This window comes from Homo sapiens, chromosome 10 (assembly GCF_000001405.40).
Source record: "Homo sapiens chromosome 10, GRCh38.p14 Primary Assembly".
Lineage (NCBI taxonomy): Eukaryota > Metazoa > Chordata > Mammalia > Primates > Hominidae > Homo > Homo sapiens.
In genome coordinates, this window is record NC_000010.11 from 49,762,416 (window position 1) to 49,775,029 (window position 12,614).

The 12,614-nt window shown below is 43.8% G+C and overlaps 1 pseudogene; it reads left to right on the top strand.

Moving 5' to 3' along the window:
* On the top strand, positions 8,648-12,003 carry MAPK6P6 (mitogen-activated protein kinase 6 pseudogene 6; annotated as a pseudogene).

Sequence of the window (12,614 nt, forward strand, 5' to 3'; positions counted from 1 at the left end):
CTCCTGGCGCTGTCCACGGTGCTGGCGGCCCAGGCCCGAGGTCGCCCACGGCCGAAGGGGGGACTCCTCTCTGAGACCGCAGAACGGGGCTGAGGCCCTGAACCCCGTGTGCTCGTCCTAAAACTAGGACGAATGTACCAGACGACAAGCAGCCTTTGTGTGTAGGAGAGGATAGGTTTTGTTTTGTCGTCTGTAAAATGGGAATGCTATGAAAAGTTCCACTATCTTAGGGATGTTTTGAAAAAAAGATGAGATAATGCGTGAAAAGTGCTTACCCCAAATCTGATACACATTTTACCCATTCATCCTCCCACTGATGGTGACCCAGGCTGTCCTCACCACCCCGTGGCCACAAACAAGGCTGCAATGAACTTCTTCATACACATTCCCTTAGGATCCTGCGTGGAACTTTCTCTGGGATAGAGATCAACTTTCTAATTATTATCAGAATAGCAGATGCAATGTCCTGTTATTGTTTTAATCTGCATTTCTCTGGTTATCAACCATTTGCATCTCCCGTTGTTTGTTAGTTTGGGGTTTTCTGTTGTATTTTTTTCAGCTTTCTGTTGGGTTTTGTTCTCATTTAAATGCAGGGATTTCTTGTATAGGAACATAACATACCTGTGGTTCAAGTTGCCATCAAATCTCTCCTGGATTATCGCAGCAGCCTCCTAACTGGCTTCTCTGCTTCTACACTTACACTCTTGAATTTTAATCTCAAAACTACAGTATGCACTTCACAAGAATATATTCAAGTACATATCAAACCAATTAATATGGTTGCTTGTCGAGGGAGGAGGATGGGGAATGTGGATATGAGGTAATTAATCAATTACCCAGATCACTGCTGACAGAGTGCCACGAAGAAAGGAATACAACTAACTTCTGCACCTGAAGTCTCCCAAAAGTTCTTTATTTGGAGACAGTTAGGGATACATGTGGTCAAGAATCTTCAGCACTTAACACAGCACTATCATGGTATTTTTCAGTAAATATTTGTTGAATGAATGACTGAGTGAGTAAATGGACACTTGACTTGGATCCTGAAGGATGAGTAAGATTTTATCTGGTGCAGAAGGGCAGGGTTCATTGGGAATTCTTTGGACACAAGCACCAAAAATGACCTGGCTAGCTTCAGCCGAAAACGAGTTGATATGAAGGTTGTATATAAGGCAACTCACAGAATCAGAGGAAAGCTGAAAATTTACTTCAGGAAGCAGGGCTGAGCCATAGAGGAACTGTCTCTTCAAGGCTCTTCTGTTTTTCAAAATTCAAATTCCGGGTGAGAGGCAGTAATGTACTTGCAGTAGAGACGGAGTAAGGTGGCCAGATTTGAGAGACTTACGGGGATCAGCTCCACGGGGTTTAGTGGTTGACCAGATATGAGGGTGGAGACATAGATAACTCACAGGTGTCTGGCTTTAGTGACTTGGGCACAGTGGAACTTCTCAGTGAGCTAGGGAAAAGGAGAAGCTGCAGTTTGGGGTAATAGTGGAAAAGTTTACAAGTCAGAGTCACCGATTAAGAAAGATGGAAAGCCTGACACAGAGCAGCAGGCAGGAACAAGGCTCTTGCAAATCAAAAGGCTTCAGAGCCTTTCAGCCTTCCAGCCTAATTGGTGTTCTGCTAATTGCATTGATTAAAGCAAACATTTGGGGCAATCAACGCTCCCATGAGGGTGGCTGCCATTCTCAGAAGCCTGAGAGGATTAGTGGCAGTGGCTGTAGGCTTTGCAGAGATCTTCAGAAACAGACACCTTTCTTTTTTTCCCATGCCTGTGGCGTGTGTGTGTGTGTGTGTGTGTGTGTGTGTGTGTGTGTGTCAGAACATGGAAGTTTTTATTTATTCTAGTTGTACAGAACTTAAATGATACAGAAGGATACAGAACAAAATGTGAAAAGCCCCCTTCCACCTGCCCCAACCTCACCTCTTTTTTTTCCTTCCAGAGATAACTACTGGCCAGTTTGGCAAACATTTTTACAAAATTGTTTATGTATTTATATCCATATGCTTCTACAAACATATACATAAAAATATGAAATGGATCACACTAGAATATAGTTCCACGACTTGTTTCTTTTTTTCCCTTGTCTTGAAGATTTTTATTTAAACTCAGTATGTGTAGGACCACCTCATTCTTTTTCATGGGTATGTTGTATTCATTATAGGGATGTATGGTGACTGTATGTCACTTCTCTCCCATTGAATGAACATTTCCATTTCTTTTGACATTTACAGAAAAAAAAGGAGAAAAGAGTCCTCCTATATATTCCCTTTAGTACATGCAAAACTACTATGGTAACATTGATTTCTCTTTCTTTCTTTCTTTCTTTCTTTTTTTCTTTTTTTTTTTTTTTTTCAAGATGGAGTCTTGCTCTGTCACCAAGGCTAGAGTGCAGTGGCTGGATCTCAGCTCACTGCAACCTCCACCTCCCAGGTTCAAGCAATTCTTCTGCCTCAGCCTCCTGAGTAGCTGGGATTACAGGCTCCCACCACCATGCCTCGCTAATTTTTTTATTTTTAGTAGAGATGGAGTTTCATCATGTTGGCCAGGCTGGTCTTGAACTCCTGACCTCATCATCCCCCACCTTGGCCTCCCAAGTGCTGGGATTATGGGAGTGAGCCACCATGCCCAGCCTGATTTCTAAATTAAGTTTAACAATGGGTCAAAAGATATATATTCTTTGCAGTTTAATATGTATAATAAATATCTAGTAAGACCGTTCCACTGAATACTTCCTCATTAGTGTTTTTGAGTTCCCACTCCCTTACATCCTTGCCAAGATTTATTATCAGTTTTCTTTCATTTATGCCAGTCTGATAGGTGAAAAATCACATTTTGTTTTAGTTAGCATAAAACTGATAAGCGAGTTTGAAAATCTCTCTTTTTTTGAGGTGGAGTCTCGCTCTGTCACCTAGGCTGGAATGCGATGGCGTGATCTTGGCTCACTGCAAACTCTGCCTCCTGGATTCAAGCTATTCTCCTGCCTCAGCTTTCCAAGTAGCTGGGACTATAGGCACACACCACCATGCCCAGCTAATTTTTGTATTTTTAGTAAAGACAGGGTTTCATCATGTTGACTAGGCTGGTCTTGAACTCCTGACCTCAAGTGATCTGCCCGCCTTGGCCTCCCAAAGTGCTGGGATTATAGGCATGAACCACCGCACCCGGCCTGAAAATCTTTTTATATGTTTTTATATGTTTCTTTTTATATGTTTCTTATTTTGTATTCTTTTTCTACAAATTGCCTATTGATAGACTTTGCTCATTTTTCTATCAGGTTGTTTATATTTTGCTTGAATTCACATAAACTCTGTACATATTCTGAATAAGAATATTTTGTAGGTTGTAAATGTTGCAACATTTCTCCCAGTCTGTCACTTGTCTTAACTTTGTTTATAGATGCTTTGGCCACATTTTCATAGCTTTGATTACAGTCTATTATTATAATTTTTCTTTTATAGTCTTACTTATTGTTGTTAATCTCTTACTAGGCCTAATTTATAAATTAAACTTTATCATAGGTATGGGCCAGGCATGGTGGCTCACACCTGTAATCCCAGCACTTTGGGAGGCCAAAGCAAGTGGATCACCTGAGGTCAGGAGTTTGAGACAAGCCTGGCCAACATAGTGAAACCCCATCTCTACTAAATATACAAAAAATTAGCCGGGTGTGGTGATGGTTGCCTACAATCCCAGTTACTCGGGAGGCTGAGGCAGGAGAATCACTTGAACCCAGGAGGTGGAGGTTGCAGTGAGCTGAAAGAGTGCCACTGCATTTCAGCCTGGGCAACAGAGTGAGACTCCATCTCAAAAAAAAAAAAAAGAAAAAGAAAAAGAAAAAAAAATTATCATAGGTATGTATAGGAAAAAACAGGGTATATATAGGGTTTGATACTATGTGAGGATTTGGGCATCCATGGGGGCCTTGGAACGTATCTCCCCAGGATAAGCACAAACTACTATATAAAACATTTCTATCACCACAAGGATCCCTCAAAATGCCCTTCTATAGCCACACCTATTTCCCTCCCACATCACCTCCTCCTTAACCCCTCCAAACCATTAATCAGTTCTCCATCTCTATAATTTTGCATTCAATAATGTTATATGTAAGTGGCATTATAGGGTAGGTAGGCTTTTAGGATTAGCTTTTTTTCATTCAGTATAGTTCTTCGGAGATTCATGCAGGTTGTTGTGTGAATCAGTCATTTGTCTCTTTTTATTGCTGAGTAGTATTCCATGGTATGGATGTACCACAGTTTGTTTAACCATTCACTCATAAAGGGCATCTGGATTGTGCTCAGATTTTGGCTATTACAAATAAACCTGCTATGGACATTTATGTTCAGATTTTTGTGTGAACATAAGTCTTCATTTCTCTGGGGTAAATGCCTTGGAGTGCAATTGCTGGGTCGTATGGTAGTTGCATGTTTCATTTTTTATAAACCTTCTGCTCTTTTCTAGAGTAGATGTGCCACTTCACAGTCCCATCAACAATGTGTAGGTGATACAGTTTCTCTGCATCCTCACCGGCATTTGGTGCTGTGTGTTACCCATCCTGATAGGTATGTCATGATATCTTATTGCGGTTTTAATTTGCATTTCCCTGATGGCTAATGAGCATCTTTTCACGTGTGTGTTTGTAATCTGTATATCCTCTTTGGAGAAATGTCTCTTTATGTCCTTTAGACCTTTTCTAATTGGATCACTCTTTTTTTTTCTTACTGTTGAGTTTGAGAGCTCTTTGCATAGTCTAGATGCTAGACTTTGTCAGATACGTGATTTGCAAATATTTTCTCTCGGCCTGTAGCTTGTCTGTTCATCCTCTTAGTAGGGTTGTGCACTGAGCAAAAATTTGTAATTCTGATGAAATCCAATATATCATTTTTTCATTTTATGGCTCATGTTTTTGGTGTTTAGTCTGAGATTTTTTTTCACCTCACCCTAGATCCTGAAGATTTTCTCCTATTTTTCTAGAAGTTTTATTGTTTTACATTTTGCATTTTGGTTCATTATCCTTTAATTTTTGTATAAAATGTGAGATTTAGGCTGAAATTCTTTTTTTTAACCTATGGACGGTCCATTGCCCCAGTACCATTTGTTGAAAGGCTGTTCTTCCCCCATTGAATTGCTTTTGCACTTTTGTCAAAAAATCAGTTGAGCACATTTGTGCGGGTCTGTTACTGGGTTCAGCTTTATGGAGATATAATTCACATACCATACAATTCACCCGTGATATAATATATCATTCAATTCTTTTTTAAGCATATCCATAGAGTTGTGCAACCGACTGTGCAATTTTAGAACATTTCATTATCTGACAAAGAAACCTTTGAAAGGGGAATTTTACCACCTTAAGAATATCAAGTTGATCCAAGACCTGCATCATACTGAAAATCTTCTGTGGGTGCCCCGAAGTGCAGAAGGCGCCTCCTCTGATAAGCCTGTGATACAGCAGGTGTTGATCCTAGGCCCGGCTGGTCAGCTTCTCCACAAGGCTGCCCTCTGACAAGCTCTGCGCTTCCACCACTGCCTCCCACAGGCCTCTTCTGCTCCCAGCCTTGGCCTTTGGGCCACAACCTCCAGAATACCCATGGTTTTCCTCCCTGAAAGATGGAGCCCCTAGGGCAACCATCTGCTCCTGTCCTCCAGCTCCATTGCAGCCGGCCTTTCCACCAGCCCCAGTCCAGGTGGGACAGGACATGGAGACAGCAGGGACTCGAGTTTCCGTTTGGAGGCGGCAGGATTCAGAGGCAAATTCAGCCCCTTAAACCTCTGCTGCCGCCTCCCCTGCAGCAACTGAGGCCTCCCACCTCTCGGAGCGAACCCCCAAGGAGAGCACAGCCAAGATTTTGGACTTCAGGAAACAGCATCCAGGCCATCGCTTGCCCTCGGGCTGAAGGCCACGCATCCCTGCCCGTCCCCTCACAGGCGGCTGCACGCTCCGGCCCTCGCCCCAGCCCTCAGGGCCCCGGCGGGAAGCCCCTCTCTGAGCAGGCCTGGCCGGGTTGTGCCCTCCTGCGGAGTCCCCAAGGGGCGGGGAGCCCGCGCCTGCCTAGCCCGGCTCTCAGGACACCTCTGTCTGCGTCTCCTTCGTCGCCACTCCGGGTTTCGACTCCGCGTGGCCAGGCACCCCGGGTCACCACCTCTCGACCCAGGGCGAGCTCACGCCGCCGCCTGCGCGCTGAACTGGGAGCTGGGAGCAGCCGACATCGGTCTCTGAAACCCTGCGCTGGGAGGCCCTCGGCTGGGCGAGGATTCCTGGGCGCTGAACAAGTTTTCCCGGCGGTGTCTGTCCGAGCGCAGACAGAAGCCGCGCGAGGGAACGCGGGGTCGTGTCCTGGGGCGGCGGGGAGGGGCTGGGAGGGCGGGTGTGCAGGGGCCTGGGCTGCCCGCCGGCTAGGGGCGGCCACCTTGGCCGGAGATCCGACGCGCGGGGACTCCCGGTCCGCGCTCCTCCAGCAGGCCGGATCCGCGCGGCAGTCCTGGGCTCCGCTCCTCATCCTCCTGCCGCGGCCGCGCCCCGCTGGGGAAGGTGCGAGGTGCGGCGGACGAGGACGATTCTTGACGCTGAGCCTGTGGGCCAGGCCCGCGCCCACCACAGGAATCTCTCCCGGGAAAGCCCGGAAAGATGCCAGCGGCCCCTGAAGCAGGGAGACCCCTGCGCGTGCGCTTCTGAGGCAGATGCATCAGGGAGGCCTTCCTGGGCGAGAGGGAAAGGATAATGGAGTGAGGGGAGTGTTGTGGACCAAGGCCTGGAGGGCGAGCAAGGGTCTGGGGTGTCTGGCGATACTGGGTGGAGGGAAGGGGGTTCTCTGTGGCCGGCATCAGGTGCTCCAGGGCAGGGCTTGGAGATAGCCAGGCCCAGCCAAGGGTCTCAAACGTTCTACCTGACGTTTCAGTCCTCAAACCGCTGTAGGGCCTCTTCAGGGTTTCAGCAGGAGACGCAGTCAGATTTTGTAGAAAAGTCATTCTGACCAGGCGCAGTGGTCACACCTGTAATCCCAGCATGCTGAGAGGCTGAGGGGGGCGGATGACTTGAGGTCAAGAATTTGAAACTAGCCTGGCCAATATGGTGAAACCCTGTCTCTACTAAAATAAAAAAATTAGCCGGGCGTGGTGGCGCGCCCCCGTAATCCCAGCTACTCAGGAGGCTGAGGCAGGAGAATTGCTTGAACCTGGAAGGCGGAGGTTGCAGTGAGCTGAGATCATGCCACTGCACTCCAGCCTGGACGACAGAGTGAGACACCGCCTCAAAAAAAAAAAAAAAAAAATAGCCAGGCATGGTGGCGAGCGCCTGTAATCCCAGCTACTCTGGAGGCTGGCAGGAGAATTGTTTGAATCCGCGAAGCGGAGGTTGCAGTGAGCCGAGATCTCGCCACTGCATTGCGGCCTAGGAAAGAAAGAAAGAGAGAAAAAGGGAGAAAGAAAGGGAGAAGGGGAGAGAGGGAGGGAGGAAGGGAGGAAAAAGAGAGGAAGGAGGGAGGAAAAAGAGAAAAAGGAGAAAAGAAAAAAAAAGGAAATGAAGGGAGGAAGGAAGGAAAAGAAAAGTCATTCTGGAGGCTGGTGGATAACTGGTGAGCTCCCATAAGCACCCCAGTGAATGGAGGTTTCACCAGTGAGGCCTGGGGAGGAGGGACCTGTGCAGAGCATTACAGAGGCAGGGTCAGTGGGGCTGGGACAGCTTGGCTTTGGGTAGTAAGAGAAGAAGAGTCAAGGATGTCTTATGGCCCCTGAAGGTGTGCTCCAGGCCCCCTGCCTCTATGGGGCACAGTTACCACCTCTTAGGAGGCCTCACCTTATGCAGAGTTGGGCCTTAATATTTATTTGAGGCCAAGAGAATTGTTTCCTCACTACCCTCGGAGAACTAACCTGATCTTGCTGTACAGAGACATAAGCAGTCCCTGCCTTCACAGTAGTTTCAGAGTACAGATGACTTCTGGCAGGTGCAGGGAGCACCCTCAGCTCTGAATAGGCAGAGAAGACAGAGAGACCAAAGAATAAAACAAAAGAAAGAACACTGACATGGTTAACAAATCAGACAGAAGGTAAGGTCTCTTAACCGAGTGTCTTTTTGTTGTCTTTTTTGTTGTTGTTGAGACAGGGTCTCGCTCTGTCACCCAGGCTGGAGTGCAGTGGCATGATCACGGCTCACTGCAACTTCCACCTCCTGGGCTAAAGTGATGCTCTCACCTCAGCCTCCCAAGTAACTGGTAGGACAGGCACGTGCCACCATGCCTGGCTAATTTCTGTGTGCTTTGTAGAGACAGGGTTTCACCATGTTGCCCAGGCTGGTCTCAAACTCCTGAGCTCAAGCGATCCACCTCCCAAAGTGCTGGGATTACAGGTGTGAGCCACTGCACCTGGCCCATTAATTGAGTGTTTTTTAGAGTCCAGATTTTCTTTTCAATTGCAATGTCAATACATGCTCATTATAAAAACACTAAAAAGCACAAAAAAATTGTAAAAGGAAAGAATATTCATATTTTCCTGTTTAAACTCAACCACCTTAGTTGAGTTTATCATTTAGTGTTTTCCTTCCAATTTTTCTTCCCTTACATGGTATTCAAACTTTTACCAAAGTTGTGGTTATACTGTCTTCACAATTTGCAGAGTCCCTTTTCACTTAAGATTATCTCAGAAGCGCTCTCTCATGGGTCATGGTTACATGGCAGCTACCGCGGCAAAGCGAGAGCCTCAGAGACGCCACTGCGGCCAGCACAGCCGGAGACCTGAGCTGGGGGCTGTCTGCAGGCCCTGCACTCTCTCGATGAGTTGGAGAAGTCCCATTGTATCAGAGTAAGATGGACGGTAGCTTTGATTGTGATTGTGGTGAGCTGGAGCCACCTGATCACTAACAAAAGACACCTTCTGTTAACCAACAGCCGCCAGGGCTTCCTGTTGAAATATATAGCAACAAAGGAAGAAAAGAAGCAAAACGGAAATAGTGCTTAACAGCACCTTAGAATGATGCTGCTCAGGACCAGTCCAACACTGAATGTATATGCACTGTGAGGAGAATGTTCATAGAAGCCTGTTGTGTGCATATTTATTCACATTTTTGTTAAATGTTAAATCGTTTAGCACAGTAATCTGAGTGCATAGTATATCATTTCATTCCGTTTGAGTTTCTTGAGTGTTTTCTTTAAATGTCTGCAGAGTTGCTGCCCCTTTCTTGGACTATGAGTACTGCAATCTTTTTAATTCTCAATATGAGTAGAGCTTTTTGAGCTTTAAATCTAAGGGAAACTCAACAGGCCTGTTTGGCGTATGCAATGAACATCAAGAAACCATCTTGCTGTGGAAGCATAATTATTTTTTTTTTCTCTCTTTTTGAAAGATCTTTCCTTTGGATGCCAGTTTTCTTCCTTGTTTACACAAGTTCAACAATTCAAAAGGAAAAGGCAATATAATTGGCAATGATTGGCCTATACATAACAACTTTGATATTGATGAAGTTCAGCTTGATCCAAGAGCTCTGTCTGATGCCACTGATGAAGAAGAAGTACAGGTTGACCCCTGAAAATATTTGGATGGAGATCGGGAAAAGTATCTGGAGGATCCTGCTTTTGATACCAATTACTCTACTGAGCCTTGCTGGCAGTACCCAGATCATCATGAAAACAAATATTGCGATCTGGAGTGTAGCCATACTTGTAACTGCAAAACGAGGTCATCATCATATTTAGATAACTTAGTTTGGAGAGAGAGTGAACCATTACTATGAACCCAAGCTTATTATAGATCTTTCCAATTGGAAAGAACAAGCAAAGAAAAATCTGATAAGGCAAATCAAAATGTGAAAGGAATGGATTGGTTAAAGCCAGATAGCACTAAAGGAAGCATCACAGCAACTGGCTGGAAAAGAAAGGGAAAAGAATCATGGATTTGATTTTGATTCCTTTATTGCAGGAACTATTCAACTTAGTTCCCAACATGAGCCTACTGATGTTGTTGATAAATTAAATGACTTGAATAGCTCAGTGTCCCAACTAGAATTGAAAAGCTTGATATCAAAGTCAGTAAGCCAAGAAAAACAGGAAAAAGGAATGGCAAATCTGGCTCAGTTAGAAACCTTGTACCAATCTTCTTGGGACAGCCAGTGTGTGAGTGGTGGGGAGGACTGTTTTCTCATCAATCAGTTTTGTGACGTAAGGAAGGATGAACAAGTTGAGAAAGAAAACACTTACACTCGTTACTTGGACAAGTTCTTTAGCAGGAAAGAAGATACTGAAATGCTAGAAACTGAGCCAGTAGAGGAAGAAGAGCTTGGGGAGAGAGGAAATGAGGAAAGGTTTCTGAACAACAGTGGGGAGTTCCTCTTTAACAAGTTTCAGTCGCGTCCATGTGAAGAGACCACCAAACAGGCTTTGTGTGAGCAACAAGGCTGTTTATTTCACCTGGACGCAGGCGGGCTGAGTCCGAAAAGAGAGTCAGTGAAGGGAGATGGGGTGGGTCTGTTTTATAGGTTTTGGGTGGGTAAAGGAAAATTACAGTCAGAGGGGGTTGTTCTCTGGCTGGCAGGGGTGGGGGTCACAAGGTGCTCAGTGTGGGAGCTTGTGAGCCAGGATGAGCCAGGAGAAGGAATTTCACAAGGTAATGTCGTCAGTTAAGGCAGGAACAGGCCATTTTCACTTCTTTTGTGATTCTTCAGTTACTTCAGGCCATCTGGATGTATACGTGCTGATCACAGAAGATATGATGGCTTAGCTTGGGCTCCGAGGCCTGACAAAAAGCAGCTCGAGTCCATAGGCATCCCGCAGTTTCACAGTCCAGTTGGGTCACCACTTAAGTCAACACAGGCCACATTAACACCTTCTGCTATGAAATCTTCCTCTAATATTCCTCATCAAACATACAGTAGCAGTCTGAAACTTCTGAACTAAAACACTCAGCAGACATTTATCTTTGTATTCTGCATGAAATGTGTTTTGTCTTTTTTTATTACTAGTGTTTAAGTCATTTTTTACTTGAATCAGATGGTGTCATTTAGTAAGGATTTTATTAGTTCTTGGCTTTTAAAATCCAGACTTTCTTTTTCTACATGTGAGATAGTTTTTATTTTAACTGGCATGTCATTTGCTCACAAAAGTAAAGACTAGAGCAAAATAATGCAATGCAGGAGAAAAGAAATGCACTAAGACAGGTAAAGAACATTCTCTCATAGAACAATGATCTGTTTTACAGGAAACAAACCTTGCCTTGAAATTTACACAGTGAGACTGTACATAATTGCATGAAAATAGCTATTTTTTCTAAGACATTATTCATTCATGAGTATTTTCAAGTTTTTCATACTGTACACATTTCTCAAAACACATGATACCAGCAGCAACTGAAAATGAATGCTGAATTTGGTACACATGTGTTATCTACCTCAAGGTAACAAGAGTATGTGGCAAAACATATACCACCATAGTGCTTCACAATATGCACTTCTATTTAGCCAGCGTTTATTGTAGTAAACTATTCTTAATAAGACTCATTCACTGTTTATAAATGTTCTGGTATGCATTCTTTATAGTGAAGTGTTAATACATCGCATCTTATTTATTTTAGTATATTTTCTGTATTTAATTATTAAAATTAACTTAGTTTTTAAAATGTATTTGTAAATACACTTTTTCCATTTGACACTATGGTTTGTTGCTTTCCTAGCTGAATCTATAATGTCAGCTTATCCTAAGCCTGTCCACATACTTAATTTACTTAAGTGTTCATTTTAAGTAACATGCTCACTGTGTATAAGAATTTGTATTTTGGAGGTGCTTGATCTATCTACAAAGAAAAATTAATTAGGAATTACTTTATTATAAAATGATCCGAGAAGTTTGTGTTTATTTAAAAAAAAGTTAGAATTGTGTACATGGAAGTAATTAAGGTACATCATTATTGTACTTTAAAAGTTGTACATGATAAGACATTTTGTTTTTACTGTATGTTTTTACTGAATGATCTATTCCCCATCCCAAGGCAAGCATGAATAAAGTTAGGTTAAATGAAAAAAAAAAAAAAAGATTATCTCAGGAGCATTTTTCCATCATATGATAAACTTGCAGGTAATTACAATATTGAGCAGGTCACTCAGTCCTGGTCTGCCAGATTTAGCTTCATTCTTGAACCCCAAATTCCAGTGAATCTACAAATATGAATGCAGATGCCACTTGGTTTCCTTTCCTTTTGCATTATAATAAAAATTAAGAAAGCTGGCTCTGACATTTATTAATCCTCTTCTTTTCTGAAAAATCTTTAGGCAATGATAAACACAGTGCCTTAGAAATACCAGCAGGATAATTAACTTCCAATGGAAGCAGGGAGGAAGTATGGGCTGAGGTTAGTTAATAAGATTGGGAGAGCCTCCTATATTATATGAAGTGTGTGGGCTAGAGATGACGGCCTTAGGGAATAATCAATGTCATTGTTGGTTGGGTTCGATTGATTTCATAAGGAAGTACTGAGCTATTGAAACATCGGCAGATCAAGACATCACTTCATTATTTAAACTCCACCAAGAGAGTTTGCAACATGTTCTCAGTGGTTGACCTGGGAGGGGAAAGGAGACATTTGTCTGTCCTTATTCACACCATGAATCACAGCTAGAAAGAGGGTC